Below are 21,818 nucleotides of genomic sequence, written 5' to 3'. Positions count from 1 at the left end.
TATATACACACACATATATACACACATATATATACATATATATATACACACACACATATATATATATATTTTTTTAGATGGAGTCTCGCTCTGTCGCCCAGGATGGAGTGCAGTGAATGGCACGATCTCGGCTCACTGCAACCTCCGCCTCCGAGGTTCAAGTGATTCTCCTGCCTCAGCCTCCCGAGTAGCTGGGACTACAGCCATCATGCCTGGCTAATTTTTGTATTTCTAGTAGAGATGGGGTTTCACCATATTGGCCAGGCTGTTCTGGAACTCTTGACCTTGTGATCCACCCACTTCTGCCTCCCAAAGTGCTGGGATTACAGGCGTGAGCCACTGCACCTGGCCTATTTTTTTACTAATGTTTAAAGAGACCCACTTTATGTACAGAATTCTGGCTACAACCTAACAAAAAAATTGCTCTGTTCATCAGTTACAGCCAATTTAAGTAATTATGAAGAGCTCAACAATACTTTAACTGGCAATGAAAGCTTCAATATCTCACTTTTACCACCACAACTTTGGATTTCTTGGTAGCTAAATAAAATGCTTCTATTTTGTGGGGGGAAAACTGTCACATAAGTTGAAATTTTGCAATGTTCAGTTGACGAAGAGGTCTCTATGTTAAATCAAAGGTATAAATTCCACATCAGTAGCACATGAGAGGAAAAAAAAGCCAAAATTAAAGTGATTCATGCTCATTTCCTTAACTGAACCTAAGATTTTACTAACAGAGATGTCATAACTTTGATCATGCACACATCAAACTTGAATTTAAAAACATGCATGCACTCACTCATCTTTTATCTCTTATGTAATTAATACTGTAAGATTATATTTTGCCTACATGCTCTATATTACTAATTTATAGGATTATTACTATTCAGTGTTGTTTACTCGAAACCATACTGTACTACACACTTTTGCATTCCATGCTAACTTTATTTTTTTAATTAATTTTTTAATTTGATACAGAGTCTCACTCACTCTATCGCCCAGGCTGGAGTGCAGTGGCACGATCTTGGCTCCTGCAACCTCTGCCTCCTGGGTTCAAGTCATTCTCCTGCCTCAGCCTCCCAAGTAGTTGGTACCACAGGTACATGCCACCACACCCGGCTGATTTTTGTATTTTTAGTAGAGAGGGGGTTTCACCATGTTGGCCAGGCTGGTCTCGAACTCCTGACCTCAGGGTTATAGGCGTGAGCCACCATGCCCCATGAGCTTATTATTAGAGCTTATTTCCCATCCCATAAGATACAACACTACTTGTGTTACATAGTGAGCAGTGTGGGGAAGAAAAGCTTGAGAATTAAGTTAGTGACAAATCCAGTGTACTCAAAAAGAGGGAAAAAAACACTCAGAAACAATTGCTTTCCCCATATTCTATTCTCCCTAGAGGTAGTCCAAAAAGGAATGACAAAAGAAAAAAAAGGATACAAAATGAGATACATGTTCATGTGACATATAAGTACAGTAATAAAATAACCATATATGATATTTAAGCAAAATAATATGCATTGATGGTCATCTGATATAAATCCATCATTTCTGTTGGCCAATATCTAAAACCTTTACTTTTCTGAAGAGACAAGCTATAAATCTATACAGATATTTCTACAATGAGAATTCACTATTACATATGATCCAATATATTTTGATGTCAAATATTCACAATTAATGTTAAAAAATCCCCTACTTGGCCAGGCGCGGTGGCTCATGCCTGTAATCCCAGCACTTTGGGAGGCCAAGGCGGGTGGATCACGAGGTCAAGAAATCGAGACCATCCTGGCCAACATGGTGAAACCCTGTCTCTACTAAAAATACAAAAATTAACTGGGAGTGGTGGTGCGTGCCTGTAGTAGGCTGACGCAGGACAATCACTTGAACACAGGAGGCAGAGTTTGCAGTGAGCTGCGATCGCACCACTGCACTCCAGCCTGACGACAGAGCGAGACTCCGACTCAAAAAAAAAAAAACCCTACTTATGTTAAGAGTACCAAAAATAGGGCCAGGAATGATGGCTCAGGCCTATAATTTTGGCACTTTGGGAAGCCAAGGTGGGAAGACAGCTTGAGTCCAGGAGTAAAACAGACTCTGTCTCTACAAAAAAATTAAAAATTAGCTGGATGTGGCACACACCTGTAGTCCAGGTACTCATGAGGCTGAAATGGGTGGATCACTTGAGCCTGGGAGGTCAAAGCTGCAGTGAACTGTGATCGCACCACTGCACCCTACACCCAGCCTGGGCAAGGTGAGACCCTGTCTCAGAAAAAAAAAAAAAGGTACCAAAAATCTATAGCTGTTTCAGGAATAAAATACATGTAGTTAGTGAGGTTTTTCTCCCCCACTGCTATGACTTAATTTTTGGTTGAGATGCTAAGCCAAACATCATTTTAAGTCTGTGGCCCAACCGAAAAAGGGAATCATACTCTCCAAAGAATTGTACATTCCCACTCTAATTGCTAAAATAAAATGTTGGATTACGAAAATCAATTTTGTAGGTATCAATAAGTTATAAGAGCATGGCTTATTAAAAAAAAAAAGCGGGCGAGGTTACCTACATGAACTGCAAAGCAAGCAAACTGAATTTTCTTCTCGAAGAGCCCATCCTCATACTTAAAATTTCCCACAACTATATGGAAATTCTTTCACTTACCAGAAAGACCTGATGGGCACTTTCACTGAGAGTTGAGTCATCTGGGCTGTCGACAGGTGTCTGACGTGTAAACTTGGAATCAAACTGACTTACATCCTCTTCAGATTGCTTTATACAAACAAAATAATTTAGAAAATAATGAATAGTCCATATTACATCAATCAAATGCACTGTAAGCTCTGGGAGCTCTTTTCGCAGGGGTTAACTATAATAAAGTATTAGAATAGTCTTAGCAGGCACAGAATGAAGAAAAAAATGCAGGTGGAAAGTACTGAGTCAAATTACATCTTCAAATCTTAAACATGCATTAAAATAGATTTTAGTATACTGTTATTCCTATTAAAAATGTGAATATATCAACTGGGCATGGTGGCTCATGCCTGTAATCCCAGCACTTTGGGAGGCTGACGCGGGCAGATCATGAGGTAGGAGTTCGAGACCAGCCTGGTCAATATAGTGAAACCCCGTCTCTACAAAAAATACAAAATATTAGCCAGGCGTGGTGGTGGGCACCTGTAATCCTAACTACTTGGGAGGCTAAAGCAGGAGAATTGCTTGAACCCGGGAGGAAGAGGTTGCCGCAAACACAGATTGTGCCACTGCACACCAGCCCAGGTGACAGCGCGAGAGTCTGTCTGAATAAAAAAAAACAACAAAACAAAACAAAACAAAAAAAGTGAATACATTGAGCTCAAAACAAGTTGGAAAAAATGTGAATATCAATTTCCTCTCTCACAAAGCTTCAGTGTGCTTAGTACACTGGCTAAATCCCTGTTTAGAGATAATTAGTTCAGTTGGCTACTGCAGGTTTGTAACAAACCTGAAAAACTACTGAAGCAGAGTTAAAACATGAATAATACTGGTAAGATGCTCCAGTTAAAGTTTCTTCCCACAGCTTATTTCATTCCTTTAGAAATCTAAAGGAGCAAAAATAATTTTCTATTCTGCATGGGTTATAAGTTATATTCCCTTGTGAAAGTATAGTTATCACTTCAGTTCTAACCATGAGATTGATTTATGTAATTCCTTGTCTCTTTCCCAAAATATCTGGTTAGACTCTTGGGCCAAATCTAGGAAGTAAATAATAATTTAGAATATCTGACTTAATACTAAAAGATGACCACATTGACCTGATAATTCTCTTAGAGCCCAGACTGTGAACTTGCACTCCCTGGAGGAATGGCTGATTCCAAATGTGGGGAAAATGTAAAAGATAAGCAGAGAACAGCAGTTTCCTTATTTTGCTCTCTTGTCCAACACCAGACAACGTGCTCGTCAAAAGGACTCAGAACCCAATATGAAGATGCACCCAGCATTCAACGAAGGGAAAAAATGAGCATCAATAAAAATAACGGCCAGGCACGGTGGCTCACGCCTATAATCCCAACACTTTGGGAGGCAGAGGCAGGTGGATTGCTTTTGAGCTCAGGATTTGAAGACCAGCCTGGTGAACATGGCAAAACCCTGTCTCTACCAGAAACACAAAAATTAGCTGGGCGTGGTGGTGTACCTGTGGTCCCAGCTACTCAAGAGGGTGAGGTGGGAGGACTGCTGGAGGCCGGGAAGTCAAGGCTGCAGTGGGCAGAGATTATACCACTGCACTACAGCTTGGGTGACAGAGTAAGACCCTGCCTCAAAACAATAAATGAATAAATAAAAATAAAAATAACTGCAATGAAATGAAACACAAATATGTTAAAACGTGTAAGTTCATAATATACTAAAGAAGAAAAAAACACATACACAAAGTTCATTGGTCAATTTTGGAAGATGCTAGGGAACTAATTCATTATTTTGAAAACTAGGAAAGAATCAAACATACATCCTGCCTTTCCTGTATGAACTATACCTTGTGTAACTAACTGTTCAAAGAGTTTCTCTTTATGAAAGAATTCCAGCTAACAAAGAAAGAAGAAATAACAGAATAAAACCATTTCACAAACACCTGATGAAATTATAAAAGTATGCCAGAGTTTCTCAACCTCAGGGCTACTGACATTTTAGGCCTATTAATACTTTGCTGTAGGGGGCTGTGCTGTGCTGACTCTTACCCCTGAAGGTACCTATAGCATTCCCTCCCCCAAGCTGTGACAATCAGTGTGTCTCCAGACATTGCCAAATTACCCTGGTAGTGAAATGCTGACACAGGCAATGATCAGTGACCACTAACATCACTAAACACACACACACACACACACACACACACACACACACAAACTACACATTATGCCTCCTGATCAAAGCATATGCAATACCGAGAGTTCAATCTGAATCAGATCAACCACCTAAATTTAACTACCAGTTTTTGGAAATTCAGGGAACAGATGAACATGGGCAATGACACCTATGGGGATAATATCAGCAAAATCAAAATTTGAGAATTCTACAGGACAAATGACCCAGTTTCTTCAATAAATCATTAGGGCAATCTATAAATGAAAAGAGACTTAAGAGACATAGTAATCAAACTATATACAGACCTTGATTAAATCCTTACAAACAGGAGAAAAAAAAAAAGAATGGAACAACAACAACAACAACAACAAAACTAGGTGGGGCAACACAGGGAGACCTCATCTCTAGAAAAATTCAAAAAATTAGCTGGGTGTGGTGATGCACCCCTGTGGTCCCAGCTATATGGGAGGATCCCTTGAGCCTGGGAGGTTGAGGCTGCCATGAGCCACTATCATGCCACTGCACTCCAGCCTGGGCAACACAGAAAGACCCTATCTCAAAAAAAAAAAAAAAAAAAAAAAAAACTGGGGAAACTGTCAACTTCTTAGGTGTGATGGTGGGATGGCAGTTATGTTTAAACAAGATGACCTAATCATTTTTAAGCTGTGCAGTAGGTGTATGACAGTCATCCTCCTTACAATTGTTTGTTGTTTTTTAAAGTGGGTCACATTATGCTCCATGACCAAAAAATAATCACTATCATCATCCTCCTCCTCCTCCACCTACATCCCAAGGAATGGAAAAAGAAACTGTTTTCTCAGATTCTGAAGTGGGAGAAAGACAATAACTAACACACTAACTCATTTACTCATAAACATATTGTTATGGATTGAATCGTGTGCCTTACCCACCCCCCAAAAAATTTAATATGTTGAAATTCTAACCTCTAGTTCCTCAGAATGTGACCTTATTTGGAAAGGGTTATTGCAGATGTAATCAGTGAAGATGAGGTCCTACTGGAGTAGAGAGGAACCCTAATCCAATATGCCTGGTATCCTTATAAAAAGGGGAAATTTGGCCACAGATACGCACACAGGTAGAACACCATGTGAACATGAAGGCAGAGATCCGGGTGATGCACCTACAAGCCAAAGAATGACAAAGATTACCAGCAAACCACCAGAAGCCAGGGGAGAGGCATGGAACATACAGTTTGTCACGGTTGTCAAAGAAACCAACTCTTAACAATGTGATCTAGAACTTCTAGTCTCCAAATCTATGAGATAATAAATTTCTGTTGTCTAAGCCACCTGGTTTGTGGTACTTTGTTGCAGCAAGCCTAGCAAACTAATGCACATATATTCTATATTTTGAAGAAAAAATTCCCAAAGAATCATATTTAAAATGGTTAAATTAAGCAAAATAAAACAAACCAAAAAAAGAAAGGTCCCAACTACCCGAAATATTTAATTGTCTTAGGTAACTGACTTAAAAATAGCTAATACAGTCAATTGCCACTGGCTTTAGTTCTTTAAAAGATAGTACAAAAATAAAAGATGCTTGGCTGGGTGCAGAAGCTCACACCTGTAATCCCAGCACTTTGAGAGGCTGAGGTGGGTGGATCACTTGAGCCCAGGAGTTCGAGACCAGCCTGGGCGACATGGTGAAACCGTTTCTACAAAAAAATACAAAAAAATTAGCCAGGCATGGTGACATGTGTCTGTAGTCGCAGCTGTTCAGGAAGCTGAGGTGGGAGAATCACCTGAGCCTGGGGAGGTCAAGGCTGCATTGAACTGTGATCGTGCTACTGCACTCCATCCTGGGTGACAGAGTGAGAGCCCGTCTCAAAATAAAATAAATAAATAATAAAAACAAAGATGCTGAAGAGAGGATAAACCAGAGATCTTTGAACTGCTAATAAAAATAACGTTTCTGTCTGCTCTGAGATTTTTCTTACTCTAAAAAAATCTCAAGCGATCTTCCTGCCTCAGCTTCGCAAGTAGCTGGGACTTACAGGCACATGCCACCATACCCAGCTGACTTTTAAATGTTTTGTAGAGATGGAGTCTTGTTATGTTGCCCATGCTGGTCTTGAACTCCTGGCTTCAAACAATCCTCCCACCTCGGCCCTTTAAAGTTTTGGGATTACAGGCGTGAGCCACTGCACCCAATTATAAGCTTTCATGTATACTTACCAACAGAGGTTTAAATGGGGGCTCCACCTTTCGAGCCAGAAGTTCTTCCCAGTTAATGTGTCTAAAGAATGGATGAGCCTAGGAAAAAAAAAGCAGAAAGAAAAGTTGAGGGGAATAGACTTTGCTGGATTGATAAATTAATCACCTTTTTGAAGTTACAAGTCACAAAATAAGCTAACTTATAAGCAACTACATATAACCCTCAGAAATACATAAAACTAGCATTATCTTCCCCACAAAACACCAAAGATGCCAATACCTACTTGAACATCTCCAGCATCCCCAGGACCAGCTCCCAGATGAGAAGCAGCATTTCTTTTCAGTAGCTTTAAAAAGGATAAAAAAGCCTGGATAAAGAACTTTAGTCAAACTGATTTTTTTCCTTTTTAGACTTTGCTTGTCTACTTTGCCTTGAGAAAATATAGTTTATTGGCTGGGCATGGTGGCTCATGCCTGTAATCCCAGCACTTTGGGAGGCTAAGGCAGGTGGTTCACCTGAGGTTGGGAATTCGAGACCAGCCTGGCCAACATGGTGAAACCCCTTCTCTACTAAAAATACAAAAAGTAGCCTGGCGTGGTGGCGCACGCCTGTAATCCCAGCTACTAGAGAGACTGAGGCAGGAGAATCACTTGAACCTGGGAGGCAGAGGTTGCAGTGAGCCAAGATCATGCCATTGCACTCCAGCCTGGAGGACAAAGCAAGACTCCATCTCAGAAAAAAGAGAAAAGAAAAAAATATATAGTTTACTAATTACTACTGAATAATTGTTTAAGGGTCTGTAATCCCAGCACTTTGAGAGGCCAAGGCAGGTGGATCACCTGAGGTCAGGTGTTCCAGACCAGCCTGACCAACGTGGTGAAACCCTGTCTCTATTAAAAATACAAAAAATAGCGGAGCATGGTGGCGGGCGCCTGTAATCCCAGCTATTCGAGAGGCTGAAGCAGGAGAATCGCTTGAACCTGGGGGACTGAGGATGCAGTGAGCCAAGATCGCACCACTGCACTCCAGCCTGGGTGACAGAGCGAGACTCTGTCTCAAAAAAAAGAATTAAAAAAAAAGAATATGAAAAGAAAGTCGTTAAACAAATCTGTACTTCGCCTTCAAAAATTGAAGACTTTTTTTTGTTCACTATATATTATTCAAAATATACATTAAATTCTATCTAGTTAAATCCTAGTCATTGAATCTTATACTGTCAGTGACCATTTAAGAACCTTACCTTTTTAAGCAGATCTCTGGCTTCTTGTGTGAGGTAGGGAGGCAAATTAGTTTACATTTGAGGATGTTGTCAATTGTTTTCTTTCTATTCTCCCCAGTAAATGGAGGCTAAGAGTAGAAGACAAGTGAAAAATATTAGCAGGAAGTGAAAAATATTAGTATATAAGAAACAAATTTTAAATAACCATATCCATTTCCTGAATTAGTTATGCATGGAGATCAGAAATGTATGCTGTGAAATGGGCTAACTGCTAAAGACCTTTATTTTGTTTTAGAGACAGGGTCTCTTGTCAAGGCTAGATTCTATTAATAATCCTTAGCCCAAATGATCCTCCCACCTCAGCCTCCTGAGTAGCTTGGGCTACAGGCATGCACCACTGTGCCTGGCAGACGTGCAGTTTTTAAGCAACAGGACAGAGGAAGTAGCAGTGTCCTGGAAGGAAGCCTGTGTTTCCACCATTAACTTGCTGTGTGATAATAAGTGAGCTATGTGATTTTATGCTTCAATTTCTGTATTTATAAAAATAAGAGCATTATCTGTTCAACATCTATTTCACAGGCCTGCCATGACACAGATCATTTCAACGAAAATGTTTCTCAAAGTATGGGATCCCATATAATCATACAGCATTATTAGTGTTAAACTGCTAATAACAAATCTTTGGGCTTTGAAAACTCCATTGGTAACATTTTCAGAAAGCACAGGACAGGTCTCTTGCTACAGTGACTCAGCATAGACCATAATACATGCAGCTTTTAACTGTGCACCTACTGCTCCAGTTGGCATGTCATACATTAATGCTCCCAAACTCCAACAATCCACAGCACAATTGTGGCCACTTCTCATCAAGATTTCAGGGGCCGTACAATGAGGAAAATAATATGCTTTAAAATGCCCCCATTGGCATATCATGTGAATTAGAATTTTAAAAACAATATACAGAGTCAATGAGGGTACAGAAAACAGATACTATTCCTTAAAACAGGTAAAATTAGCTATTACCTCCAAACCAATTATGTTTAACATGCAGCTCACATGTATTCTATTGTTCCACAAAATGTGTGTGTGACTGTTCCGTCATGAATGATTCTTTGCATAGTCCAAAGTCTGTTAGTTTCACATGACCTGCAATGAAAGATTACAGCATGATTATTCTCAGAATTCTAAGTATGTGCAGTGTTTGAACATGTCATATAACACCTTAATCTATCCTTCCATTTAACTTTTCTTGCCTCAAACTTTTCTTGCAGATGTCAAGAACAAGGTACCATCCATAAAATGGGATGCTAACTGTTTAAGGCTAGGGCAAAGTCACATTTGCCAAAGATACAATCTATCTGGTAAAGAGAAAATAAAGATAGAGAAAAAAGTGAAATAACCTGTTTAAGGCTCTAGCTTTAAGTATACACAGAATCCTCTACCATCCTGAAAAAGAAAAATCCTGGAAAAACTGTTTTATGGAGTCTAGTTTAAGTACACAGACCCTAATAAACATATTCTGTACCTTTTAAACAAAGGTGTGAGATAGTACTTCAAATATATAGCTTTTATCACAGTGAACTGTGAAGAGTTCTTAAAATGGTCTCAGAAAGTCACTATAACAAGGTAGCTCATTCTGCCCAATGCTACCAATTAGGGGAAAGAAAGAAAATTGCTAGATAGTATGAATCAATCATCGCTGATCCAGAAAGTAAAAAACTTACCACCTTATACAAAGATCATTTCAGTTCAAGTTTAGCTTTCTTTACTGGACTGTCATAACAAGTGGTTCAACAACCTCAGGGGCTCTAGTATTTGAGGTTCATTTCATAGAAAAGGCACAATGACCTATTGATTCAAATGTAAACATATACTACACTCTGATACAGAAGAAGTATGGCCTTTATTTTCACAGAACCATCTGATACACTCAACCTTATAAATGAAAGGAGAAGTCAACTATTCTATCACTCCCCTATTCTATCCTGTGACTTAGAATTCAGATCAGAACCAGGTTTTGGGGAGTGAGGAGGTGTTGATGAGAGGAAGGAAGAGACGCTGATTCCCATGATCTATTCAGTTAAGTATATCATTTCTCCTTAAAAAAAAAAAAGGTGGGTGGAGGAGTATAATCTGGAATGTTTATATGAGCCTTGGTTGTTCATACATCATTCTCTAAGAGTTTGAAACAATTAACTACCTCATGGATTGTTCTGTAGACATCTAAGGATTAGCAGCTGCTACCACCTTCTAGATACCCTGGGTCATCTGGTTGCTCCTTTGGGGTATGAGTGAATTGCCAAGTCTACCCACAGCCCAGATTAGCATAAATTGAGCTGTCTGTAGCAGCAGGCAGTTGTAGTCAAGGCTCACGGTGCTATATCTATAGTTGTATAGATTATCGGTCTCTCTGATGTTTATGTTTGTTGTTGCAAACAAACAGCAAGAATAAACTGATTCTGGCAGTGGGGGAGGTGGGTTATGCCTGTAATCCCAGCAATTTGGGAAGCCGAGGCAGGCAGATCAATTGAGCTCAGGAGTTTGAGACCACCCTGGGCAACATGATGAAACCCCATTTCTACAAAAAATACCAAAAATTAGCCAGGCGTGGTGGTGTGCCACAGTGGCCCCAGCTACTTGAGGGGCTGGGGTGGGAGGATCACTTGAGCCTGGGAGGCGGAGGTTGCAGTGAGCTGTAATCATGCCACTGTATCCCAGCCTGGGTGACAGAGTGAGATCCCCATCTCAAAAAAAAAAAAAAAAAAAAAGAGTAACCTGATGCCTATTAAACATCATATTCCCCAAGTTTTATCAAATACTTTGGTTCCATTTCAATCCTTTTTCCAGCATTAATAAAACCTACTGTAAGAAGCATAGCTTCTAATATTTACATATTTTCTTTTTCTTTTCTCTTTTTTTTTTGAGATGGAGTCTCGCTCTGTCGCCCAGGCTGGAGTGCAATGTCACGATATTGGCTCACTGCAACTTTCGCCTACTGGGTTCAGGCGATTCTCCCACCTCAGCCTCCTGAGTAGCTGGGATTACAGGCATCCACCATCATGCCCGGCAATTTTTTTTTTTTTTTTTTTTTGTAGAGATGGGGTTTCACCATGTTGGCCAGGTGTCTTGAACTCCTGACCTCAGGTGATCTGCCCGCCTCAGCCTCCTGAAGCGCTGGGATTACAGGTGTGAGCCACCGCACCCAGCCAATAATTACATATTTTCATTACTAAAACTCGACTTATATAATTAAGATTCACTTTTCAATTTAAGTAACAAGCCAAAATTAATGTTTAGACTGGCTTTTATAGTCTAAAACATTACACAACATTTTATGTAAGGATTCCAAAAACATGAAAAACTATAGAGTAAGGATTAAACTAAAAAAGGCAATTGAGCAACTATTATCCTCAACTTCTTTTACTCTCACCAAGTGTAATTACCTAAAGACTTAAAACATCAGCAAGTACTATGATGCCATAAATTCTGAGGGAGGAAATATACAAAATAGAGAGATGACTGTGGGGCTTTGAAAATGGCCATGACCTGTGTGGGAGGATTTTAAGATGATTATTTACTATAGAATTGTTTATGGTATGTCTCCACCTTGGTGATTAAGCATGATATTCTCCAGCTTCAAGTCTCTGTAGATGATCCCCTTTTGATGTAAATGCCCCAAAGCCATGGAGATTTCTGCCAAGTAAAAGCTGGAAACAGAAGTGATTTAATAGAATTAAAAAGAGTGTAATCTATCCAAAACAGTTTATGTATGGAGCAAAATTCCTTGAAAGAAACAGACATGCACCAAAGACCAAATTAGTGGGGTACAGGGATGTATGGGAAGAAGAGATGGCATAGGATGCTGCCAAAAGGCATGGGGACATTTATGTTTCACTCATTTTAGTGAAACTATAAAGTGCTTTATTTTGCCATTAGAACATACTGCTAAAATTGCAAAGATGTCCAGAATATGCTAAACTGCCATTGGTCATGTTTTGTTCTGTCTGTAGGAATTAAGCTAATAGTCATTCATTTCAAAACAAATTTCTCCCATCCACACTCAACTTTAAAATCCCATAGGAAATAGGAACGTTGTTATTCTAGAGATCAAGTCTTGATTTCAAAAGCTATCTTATAACCTGACCCTTAGAAGCCCACTCATCCCTTACTTAATACAGCTACGTATTTATAGACAGCTAAGGCCCACAGTATCCGCCCTCCCTCCAGCCAGCCAGCCCACAACTATAAACTGTGTGACACCCAAATTTATCTACCTCAAAAGAATAAAGGGCTGAATCAACCCTGTCTGGATGTGAAAAGCACAAGGCACCGCAATACTGGCTGCTTAACAATGTTGCAATCCTGCAGATTATTCCAGGATGGAGAGGGTGTGTCCTAGAGGAAGGACTGAGGCAGTTTCACAGCCAGCACGACCACAAACACAGCCTCCAACACTGCTCAGTGAGCCTCCTCCACAAAAGGGCACTTCATCCCTAAGGCTCTTAAATGCAGCTTCCGTGTTAGAAAAGGCCTGAAATTAAACAATGGAATGCAGTTTTGGTAATTAAGGTAGAAAAAACATTTAAGTGTTATTTTCTATTAAATTAATGTGTAGGATAAACTGATTTATTGTGATCCAATATTGTTGCTTCACAAAATGATGTGCATATTTTTAATTTGAAGCAGATGACATGTTTAGAAATAGGAGGGTAAATCCCATCCTGACTATATAATCAGACCACAGATGATATGCCAGGCTTATCACCTCCCTAAGACTGCACCTTGAGAAATAGAAAGCCTAAAAAAAAAAGGAGATGATTTCTGATAATTTCCATTGTTCCACACATAAAGGTTCACTGGAAAACCACACTCACCCACAGTCAAGGCAGGCAGCTCACCAATTCAAGGAAAGCAAGCAGCAATGAGAATGGTTCTGTTAGGAACAACTGGTGTGAAGAGCGTTCCACTCAAGCCTAAGGGCAAAGGAGTGATGTGACCTCCATACCCGCCCAGTCCCAAAACTGCTTCTCCCCCGTGAAGTCCTGAGTGAGTGACTGGCTCCAGATCAATTTACTGAATCATGTGGCTGCCCATAGTGGGAATGGGGCTTTGCTTGTAATTACCTGAATCTTTGCAACCACAAAAAGTTCACTTACCACGCAGTGTCTTCCATAAATATTCCCTCTCTTTCTAACTGCATAAATAGTTCTCCTGTAAAGAAAAAGAAAAAACATTAGAAATAAAACAATATGGCCAGGCGCGGTGGCTCACGCCTGTAATCCCAACACTTTGGGAGGCCGAGGCGGGCGGATCACGAGGTCAGGAGATCAAGACCATCCTGGCTAACACGGTGAAACTCCCGTCTCTACTAAAAAAAAAAAAAAAAATTAGCCGGGCGTGGTGGTGGGCGCCTGTAGTCCCAGCTACTCGGGAGGCTGAGGCAGGAGAATGGCGTGAACCCGGGAGGTGGAGCTTGCAGTGAGCCGAGATCGCGCCACTGCACTCCAGCCTGGGCGACAGAGCGAGACTCCGTCTCAAAAAAAAAGGAAAAAAAAAAAGAAATAAAACATTTATTTCCAACCCACTTCTAATGAGAGAGTTTGTGCTTTCCTTCTAACCATAATTAAAAGACATCAGCCCCTTAAACATGAAAAACAGATCCTAAAAATTATAGGTTTTAAAACTAAGTCCTCAGGATTCTATTTTTAGTAGCATTCTTATTCTTCTGTGAAACACATATGTTTAAAAACTAGAACTGCCTTGGAATTCCAGGTTTTATATCTAGAAACTTTGAAATATTTGTAGATTCCAGACCTGAGGTTAAAAAAAAAATCTTGATTAAAAACTCTTTAACATTTTACCCATAAGTAGAAAAATGATCGTCTACAATTAAATCACCCTCACTAATTTTAGTGAATGCTCATATTTCGTATTTTCAGAACCCTTAAATAAACAGAATGAACCTGGCAGTGGCCTAGTAAAAAACATGGCACAATTTGAGTATCAAAATAAATAATGATAATAAAGGGTTATATCACATTGAATGGTATTAGAATCCCTAAGCCCACAATGACATAAATAAATGAATACATAAATTTTTTAAATGGGGAAGAAGAGAAAGTTCTTTATTACGGTAGAATGCCAAGTAATAAATGAAGAAGGCATGACGGAATAAGAACAATTACTTGGCAAACATCACAATTAATTGTTGCAGGCAAGAATCAATGGATGTCAAAACTGAATGTGGGCTGGGCGCAGTGGCTCACGCCTGTAATCCCAACACTTTGGGAAGGCAAGGCGGACAGATCACCTGAGGTCAGGGGTTCAAGACCAGCCCGGCCAACATGGCAAAACCCCATCTCTACTAAAACTAAAAAAATTAGCTGGGTGTGGTGGTGCCTGCCTGTAATCCCAGCTACCCGGGAGGCTGAGGCAGGAGAATCACTTGAACCTGGGAGGTGGAGGTTGCAGTGAGCTGAGATCCTGCCACTGCACTCCAGCCTGGGCGACAGAGTGAGACTCCGTCTCAAAAAACAATAGCAACAAGAACAAAACTGAACATGAAAGTTTGATGGAAGATATTTAAATAATCTCAAAGTATCTCCTCAAAAGATACTTACTAAATACAAAGGCAAAAATGTCACCAGGGGAAAAACCGGCACACACCACCTTATACGTGTGACTGAAGTTAACATCACAAGTAATGGGACAAATATATAAATAATCATGTACCTCTTGATCTGATGCATTAAGGAGGACACAATGTCAGTTCAATGGTCCTGCCAACATTGCATAACCTGAATCTAATACTAAGAAAACATCAGCTAAACCCAAAGCATTTCTACAAACTAACTGGCCTGTACTAATAAAAAATGTCAACATCATGAAAGTCAAAGAAAGACTGAGGAAATGTTCCTGATTAAAGGAAACTAAGGAGAGTTATAATTGCATCAAAGTTAATTTCCTATTTCTGATCATTTTAGTATAGTTATGTAAGATACTGTCCTTGATTTTAGAAAATATACACTGAATAGGCTGGGCGCAGTGGCTCACACCTGTAATCCCAGCACTTTGGGAGGCTGAGGCGGGTGGATCACCTAAGGTCAGGAGTTCGAGACCAGCCTGGGCAACATGGTGAAACCCCATCTCTATTAAAAATGCAAAAATTAGCCGGGCGTGGTGGTGGGTGCCTGTAATCCCAACTTGGCAGGCAGAGGTTGTAGTGAGCCTGAGATTGCGCCACTGCACTCCAGTCTGGGCGACAGTGTGATACTCCATCTCAAAAAAAAAAAAAAAAAAAAAAGAAAAGAAAGAAAACATACACTGAAATTTTAGGGGTAAAGGGAAATCATGTCTGTAACACTCTCTTAAACAGTTCAAAAAATTATGCATGCATGCATGTATATATGTATACACATATATACATATATATAGAAGGATAAAACAAAATAAATGTGGTGAATAAATGTGGTGAAATGGTAACATTTGAGGAACCCAGGTATCCAGGTGAGAGATATATAGGAATTCTTTTTTTGTGTGTGTGTGACTGAGTCTCGCTCTGTTGCCCAGGTTGGAGTGTAGTGGCGCGATCTCAGCTCACCACAACCTCCGCCTCCCAGGTTCAAGCGATTCTCCTGCCTCAGCCTCCCAAAGAGCTGGGATTACAGGAGCACACCGCCATGCCCAGCTAACTTTTCTACTTTTAGTAGAGACAGAGTTTCACTATGTTGGCCAGAGTGGTCTCAAACTCCTGACCTCATGATCCACCCACCTTGGCCTCCCAAAGTGCTGGGATTACAGGCATGAGCCACTGAGCCTAGCATAGGAATTCGTTATACTACTCTTAAAACTTTTTAAATATGAAATTATGTCAAAATAAAGTTTTTCTGGGTGGGCACAGTGGCTCGCACCTGTAATCCCAGCACTTTGGAAGGCCAAGGCGGGCAGATCACCTGAGGTCAGGAGTTCAAGACCAGCCTGGCCAACACGGTGAAAGCCCAGCTCTACTAAAAATACAAAAAAATAGCCTGGTGTGGTGGTGCATGCCTGTAATCCCAGCTAAATGGGAGGCTAAGGCAGGAGAATCACTTGAACCTGGGAGGCAGAGGTTGTGGTGAGCCGAGATCACGCCTCTGCACTCCAGCCTGGGCGAGAAGAGTGAAACTCCATCTTCAAAAAAAAAAAAAAAGTTTTTCCAATGGCAATAGTCACAAAAAAGTTGCTACATTCTGCACCTTTCTGTTCCATGTTACATGTTACTGCAAAATCTTTCTCAGAGAACTGAACTGTGTTTGCTAGAAATAGATACCTGTGGTCGGGTGCAGTGGCTCACACCTGTAAACCCAGCACTTTGGTAGGCCGAGTCAGGTGGATCACTTGAAGTCAGGAGTTCGAGACCAGCCTGACCAACATGGTGAAACCCCATCTTTACTAAAAATACAAAAATTAGCCGGGCATGGTGGCACATGCCTGTAATCCCAGCTACTCGGGAGGCTGAGGCAGGAAAATCGCTTGAACTACAGGAAGCAGAGGTTGCAGTGACCCAAGATCACACCATTGCACTCCAGCCTGTGCGACAAGAGCGAAACTCCATCTCAAAAGAAAAAAGAAATAGATACCAGTGATTAGAAATGATATGGAAGCAACAAGTTCCTATGAGGTGGTAGGCCCTGGCAAATGTGGATGATTTCCATTATAAGCTACACACCCCATCACTAAGGCTACAATAAACAAAAACTCTTGTTTAAAGACCCAATTCCAAAAATAGTCAGTATGTTAAATAATCCTCCCAATTATTTAAATTACAGTATCTTACCCCAGTACAATTTGATGGCTCTGCATCACTTAGGTATTTGTTTTTCTGTTAAGTGACTGATTACAAAGGAAATAAGATAAAATTTTACAGATGAGGGAAAAAAATCTTCAGTTTCCTCCATATTTGTCTGCCAAAAGAAACATTTGGTCATATCTGAATTTTGTACTTCAGCGTACTCATCAATTTTAAGCACTATTTGATCATAATGGGAAAAAGTATTTTTCCGTTGAAAAATAACATTTTGACCCAGTTTCTGGAGCAAATGCAAATAATTACACCAAACTCTGTGTACTGACCACTGAGATACTCAAGGATGAGGTAGAGTTTTCCACCAGTCTGAAAAGCATAAATTAAATCCACGATGAAGGGATGCTTTACTTCTTCCAGAATATTCCATTCTGCTTTTGTATGAGCTGTATCTTTAGCATTTCCTACTATCATTGCCTAAAGGGAAAAGAGATGATCTATAAGAACAAAATAGTGAACATTTTTATTCTATAGTAACTGGAAAATCTATTTTGTGTTTTTCTTGCCAATATTGAACTATTAACCATAGTTCCCACTAGACACTGAGATGGGGTAATGGAAAATGTTCACTTTATATATGCCTCTGTGCAGTTTGGATTTTTTGCAGTGAACATGTAAATGAATACCTAAAGAGACTTTTTAAAAAAGATATCGGTAATCAGATCAAGTTTATTCACATATTCACAAACTATTGAGTGTCTACCATGCTCCAGGCTGTGCCATGAAAGCAGAATTGAAGGAATGCCCTGTCCATAGGAGTCCAAAAGTCCACAGGAGCCCAAAGTCTCAGGGAAAAAAAGACAAGTCAATGTAGGTAAGCGCAGGATGGTAAGGGTAAACAGGGGAACTACATCTGACCTAGCAAAAAGTCTTGCTTGAAGGTTATTAAAATGAAATGTGGCCTGGATGCGGTGGCTCATGTCTGTAATCCCCGCACTTAGGTGGGCAGAGGCAGGAGGATCGCTTGAGCCCAGGAGTTTGAGATCTGCCTGGTAACAAGCGTGACCCCATTCTCCACAAAAATGGTTAAAAAAGAAAGAAAGAAAGAAATGTAGAAGGTAAAAAAAAAAAAAGGCATTCCAGTGCAAAAGAGGCTTGATAGGACAGGATATGTCTGGGGAATCTACAAGTAGTTCAGCATGGTTAGAAGTGTTAGAGATTAGGCTACAGAAGCAGGTAGAGGCCAGGAAATGGAAGGTCTGGACAAAGGAAGATCTGGGTGAAATGAACAAACTTTTGGCTTTATGAAAGACACATCTAGTAGCAGTAGGGAGTATTAGGAGAGAAATGAGACTAGTTAGGAGGCTAGTATAATAAACCAACTAAGAAGATCTGTAAGAAAATGAAGGTAGAAAAAAATGAAAGGCTAAGAATACATAATTTGCATTTGCTGACAAACTAGACATGAGAGGAAATGAAGATACCTTTATTTCTGCATAAGTAATAGGATAGATAATGGTGCCATTCAATACTGGCAAATGAAAGTGAAAAAGTTTTGGGAAAACGATGCCCTGTTTTAGACATGCCAGGTATCAGTTCCAGGAAGTTAACCCAATGGTACATCTCCATAAGTAATATGGAAAGCAAATACACAGGTTACTGGTTGCAACATTATCTGTGAAACTGACACACTGGAAACAGCCTAAATGCTCAGACATAGGATATTGGCCAAAAACCTATGGAATCTACACAACGTGTAACAAAGCTATTAAAATAAGAAACATCTCTATAAAAACAAGATACAAAAGAGTATTTAAAAGTACAGCAGCATGGATACTATGCTATCTTTTGTACAAGAAAGGGGAAATGAGAATATATATAATATATAATATGTATAATATGTATAATAAATATATATAATATATATAATATATAATATATATAATATAATACATTATATACATATAATATGTATCTGCTTATACCTGCAAAAATGAAGACAACTAAGATAAACTAAAAGCTAATGATAATGGAAGGGAAGGACAAGAACTCAGACTTTTGAGTATACCCTCTGAGTAAAACCTCAATGGGTTTATCATCCATTTTTTTCTTTCCTAAATCAAATATTATTGCAATTATAAAATGTAGATTTTTCTTTTTGAACCATATTAATGTTTAATATATTCTAAAAATAAAATAAAATCAACAAGGATGAGGGGTGGGAAGCAGAACTGAATACAATAAGAATACATAAATTTAATTGACTATGACACCAATAATTTCACCACAGAAAGAGAAAGAGAAAAAAGATATAAAAGGAAAAGATTTTTCTTTTTTAAGACAGAGTCTCACTCTATCACCCAGGCTGGAGTACAGTGGCGTGGTCTTGGCTCACTGCAACCTCCACCTCCCAGGTTCAAATGATTCTCCTGCCTCAGCCTCCGAAGCAGCTGGGACTACAGGTGCCTGCCACCACGCCCAGCTAATTTTTATATTTTTAGTAGAGACGGGATTTCACCATGTTGGCCAGGTTGGGTTCGAACTCCTGACCTCGTGATACCCCTGCCTTGGCCTCCCAAAGTGCTGGGATTACAGGCGTGAGCCACTGCTCCTGGCGAGAAAAAGATACTTAAGTAATTTCAGACTGCACACCCTTAGTAGCCTATATGTAAGCACACAAAAAAATTGCAAAGAAATATTAAATCAAACTTAGTAGGTTTGTAGCTGGAAATACTATTGGTATTATAATTTTCATTACGCATATATTGTACAACTGAACAAATGAATGCATTTATTTATGTTGTTACCAGAGTTCTCACTGTAGAAAAAACGGAGATCCAAATATGACCTGAAAGAAGAATGTGGCCAGGCGCGGTGGCTCACGCCTGTAATCCCAGCACTTTGGGAGGCCGAGGCGGGTAGATTACAAGGTCAGGAGTTCAAGACCAGCCTGGCCAAGATGATGAAACTCCGCGTCTACTAAAAATACAAAAATTAGCCAGGCGTGGGGGCAGGCACCTGTAATCCCAGCTACTCAGGAGGCGGAGGCAGAGACTTGCCTGAACCCAGGAGGTGGAGGCTGCAGTGATCCGAGATCACACCACTGCACTCCAGCCTGGGGTACAGATCGAGACTCCACCTCAAAAATAAAAAAATAAAAATAAAGAAGTAGAACGCTATGGAATTCGACTAGAATTAGGGCTAACAATATGAAGCACTTTGGGAAGCCAAGGCAGGTGGGTCACCATGTTGGCCAGTAGTTTGAGACCAGCCTACCCAACATGGTGAAACCTCATCTCTACTACAGATACAAAAATTAGCCAGGTGTGGTGGTGCGCACCTGTACTCCCAGTTACTTCAGAGGCTGAGGCACGAGAATCATGGAACCTGGGAAGCAGAGGTTGCAGTGAGCTGAGGCAGCCTGGGGTCCAAGGCTGTGGTGAGCCACGATCACGCCACTGCACTCAAGCCTGGGCAACAGAGGAAGACCCTGTCTCCAAAAAAAAAAAAAAAAAAAAGGGGGGGGGGGCCAGGTGCAGTGGCTCTCACCTGTAATCCCAGCACTTTGGGATGCTGAGGCAGACAGATCATGAGGTCAGGAGTTCAAGACCAGCCTGGCCAACACAGTAAAACTCCATCTCTACTAAAAATACAAAAATCAGCCAGGTGTGGTGGCATGCGCCTGTAATCCCAGCTACTCAGGAGGTTGAGGCAGGAGAATTGCTTGAACCTGGGAGGCGGAGGTTGCAGGGAGCTAAGACTACATCATTGCACTCCAGCCTGGGCAACAGAGTGAACCGCTATCTCAAAAAAAAAAAAAAATTTAAAAAGGGAGTATAGGGCCAGGCGCGATGGCTCATGCCTGTAATCCCAGCACTTTGGGAGGCCGAGGTGGCTGGATCACAGGGTCAAGAGATCGAGACCTTCCTGGCCAACATGGTGAGACCCCATCTCTACTAAAAACACAAAAAATTAGTTGGGCGCGGTGGCGCATGCCTGTAGTCCCAGCTACTCTGGAGGCTGAGACAGGAGGATTGCTTGAACCCGGGAGGCGGAAGTTGCAGTGAGCTGAGATCACACCACTGCACTCCAGCCTGGTGACAAAGCGAGACTTCATCTCAAAAAAAAAAAAAAAAAAAAAAGGAGCATAAAAAAATCTTTACAGAAGAATGACAATATAGAAAAAATGCAGAAAAAATAGAAAAGTCTCCATTTTATAATCATAGTAATATTTGATTTGGCAAGAGGCAATCCAGATAAAACCATTAAGTAAAGATTATTATGGGACAGAATATTCACACTGTTTCTATCATTCCATAGATCACTTGTTAATTACAAAAGGAAAAGGAGGTCGGGAAAGGAGGCTCATGTCTGTAATCCCAACACTTTGGGAGGCCGAGGAGGGCGGATCACCTTAGGTCAGGAGTTTGAGACCAGCGTGGTCAACACGGCAAAACCCCGTCTCTACTATAATTACAAAAATTAGGCAGGCACCTGTAATCCCAGCTACTTGTGGGCCTGAGGCAGAAGAATTGCTTGAACCCAGCAGATGGAGGTTGCAGTGAGCTAAGATTGCGCCACTGCACTTCAGCCCGGGTGACAGAGTGAGACTCCTCCTAAAAAAAAAAAAAAAAGCCCTTAGGAGATATATAGAAGAAATTAGGGGTGAAGTGCTATGAAATCTGCAGTTAACTCTCAAATTGTACAGCAAGAAAATTTATTAAAGTTAAAAAAGTGAATATTCATAGATATACATATATGTGGGTGCAGGTAGAAAGGGAGGGACACACAGACAAAGAAAATATGGC

The 21,818-nt window shown here is 40.4% G+C and overlaps 1 pseudogene across 1 annotated transcript in view; it reads right to left on the bottom strand.

The window, feature by feature from the left end:
* LOC100287072 (ribosomal protein S6 kinase B1 pseudogene) overlaps positions 1 to 21,818 on the bottom strand; it is a 107,286-nt pseudogene that overhangs the window by 6,761 nt on the left and 78,707 nt on the right. The window contains exons 5-12 of the transcript NR_172472.1: positions 13,385 to 13,439; positions 12,503 to 12,759; positions 9,252 to 9,374; positions 8,250 to 8,356; positions 7,293 to 7,355; positions 7,030 to 7,107; positions 5,927 to 5,975; positions 2,660 to 2,767 (exon numbers count right to left, since the gene is read on the bottom strand). The product of NR_172472.1 is annotated as a ribosomal protein S6 kinase B1 pseudogene (transcript). The remainder of the gene's footprint in view (positions 1 to 2,659; positions 2,768 to 5,926; positions 5,976 to 7,029; positions 7,108 to 7,292; positions 7,356 to 8,249; positions 8,357 to 9,251; positions 9,375 to 12,502; positions 12,760 to 13,384; positions 13,440 to 21,818) is intronic.

This window comes from Homo sapiens, chromosome 17, assembly GCF_000001405.40.
Source record: "Homo sapiens chromosome 17, GRCh38.p14 Primary Assembly".
NCBI lineage: Eukaryota > Metazoa > Chordata > Mammalia > Primates > Hominidae > Homo > Homo sapiens.
The sequence above is the reverse complement of the archived record's forward strand: the minus strand, read 5'-3'. Positions and strand labels throughout refer to the sequence as shown.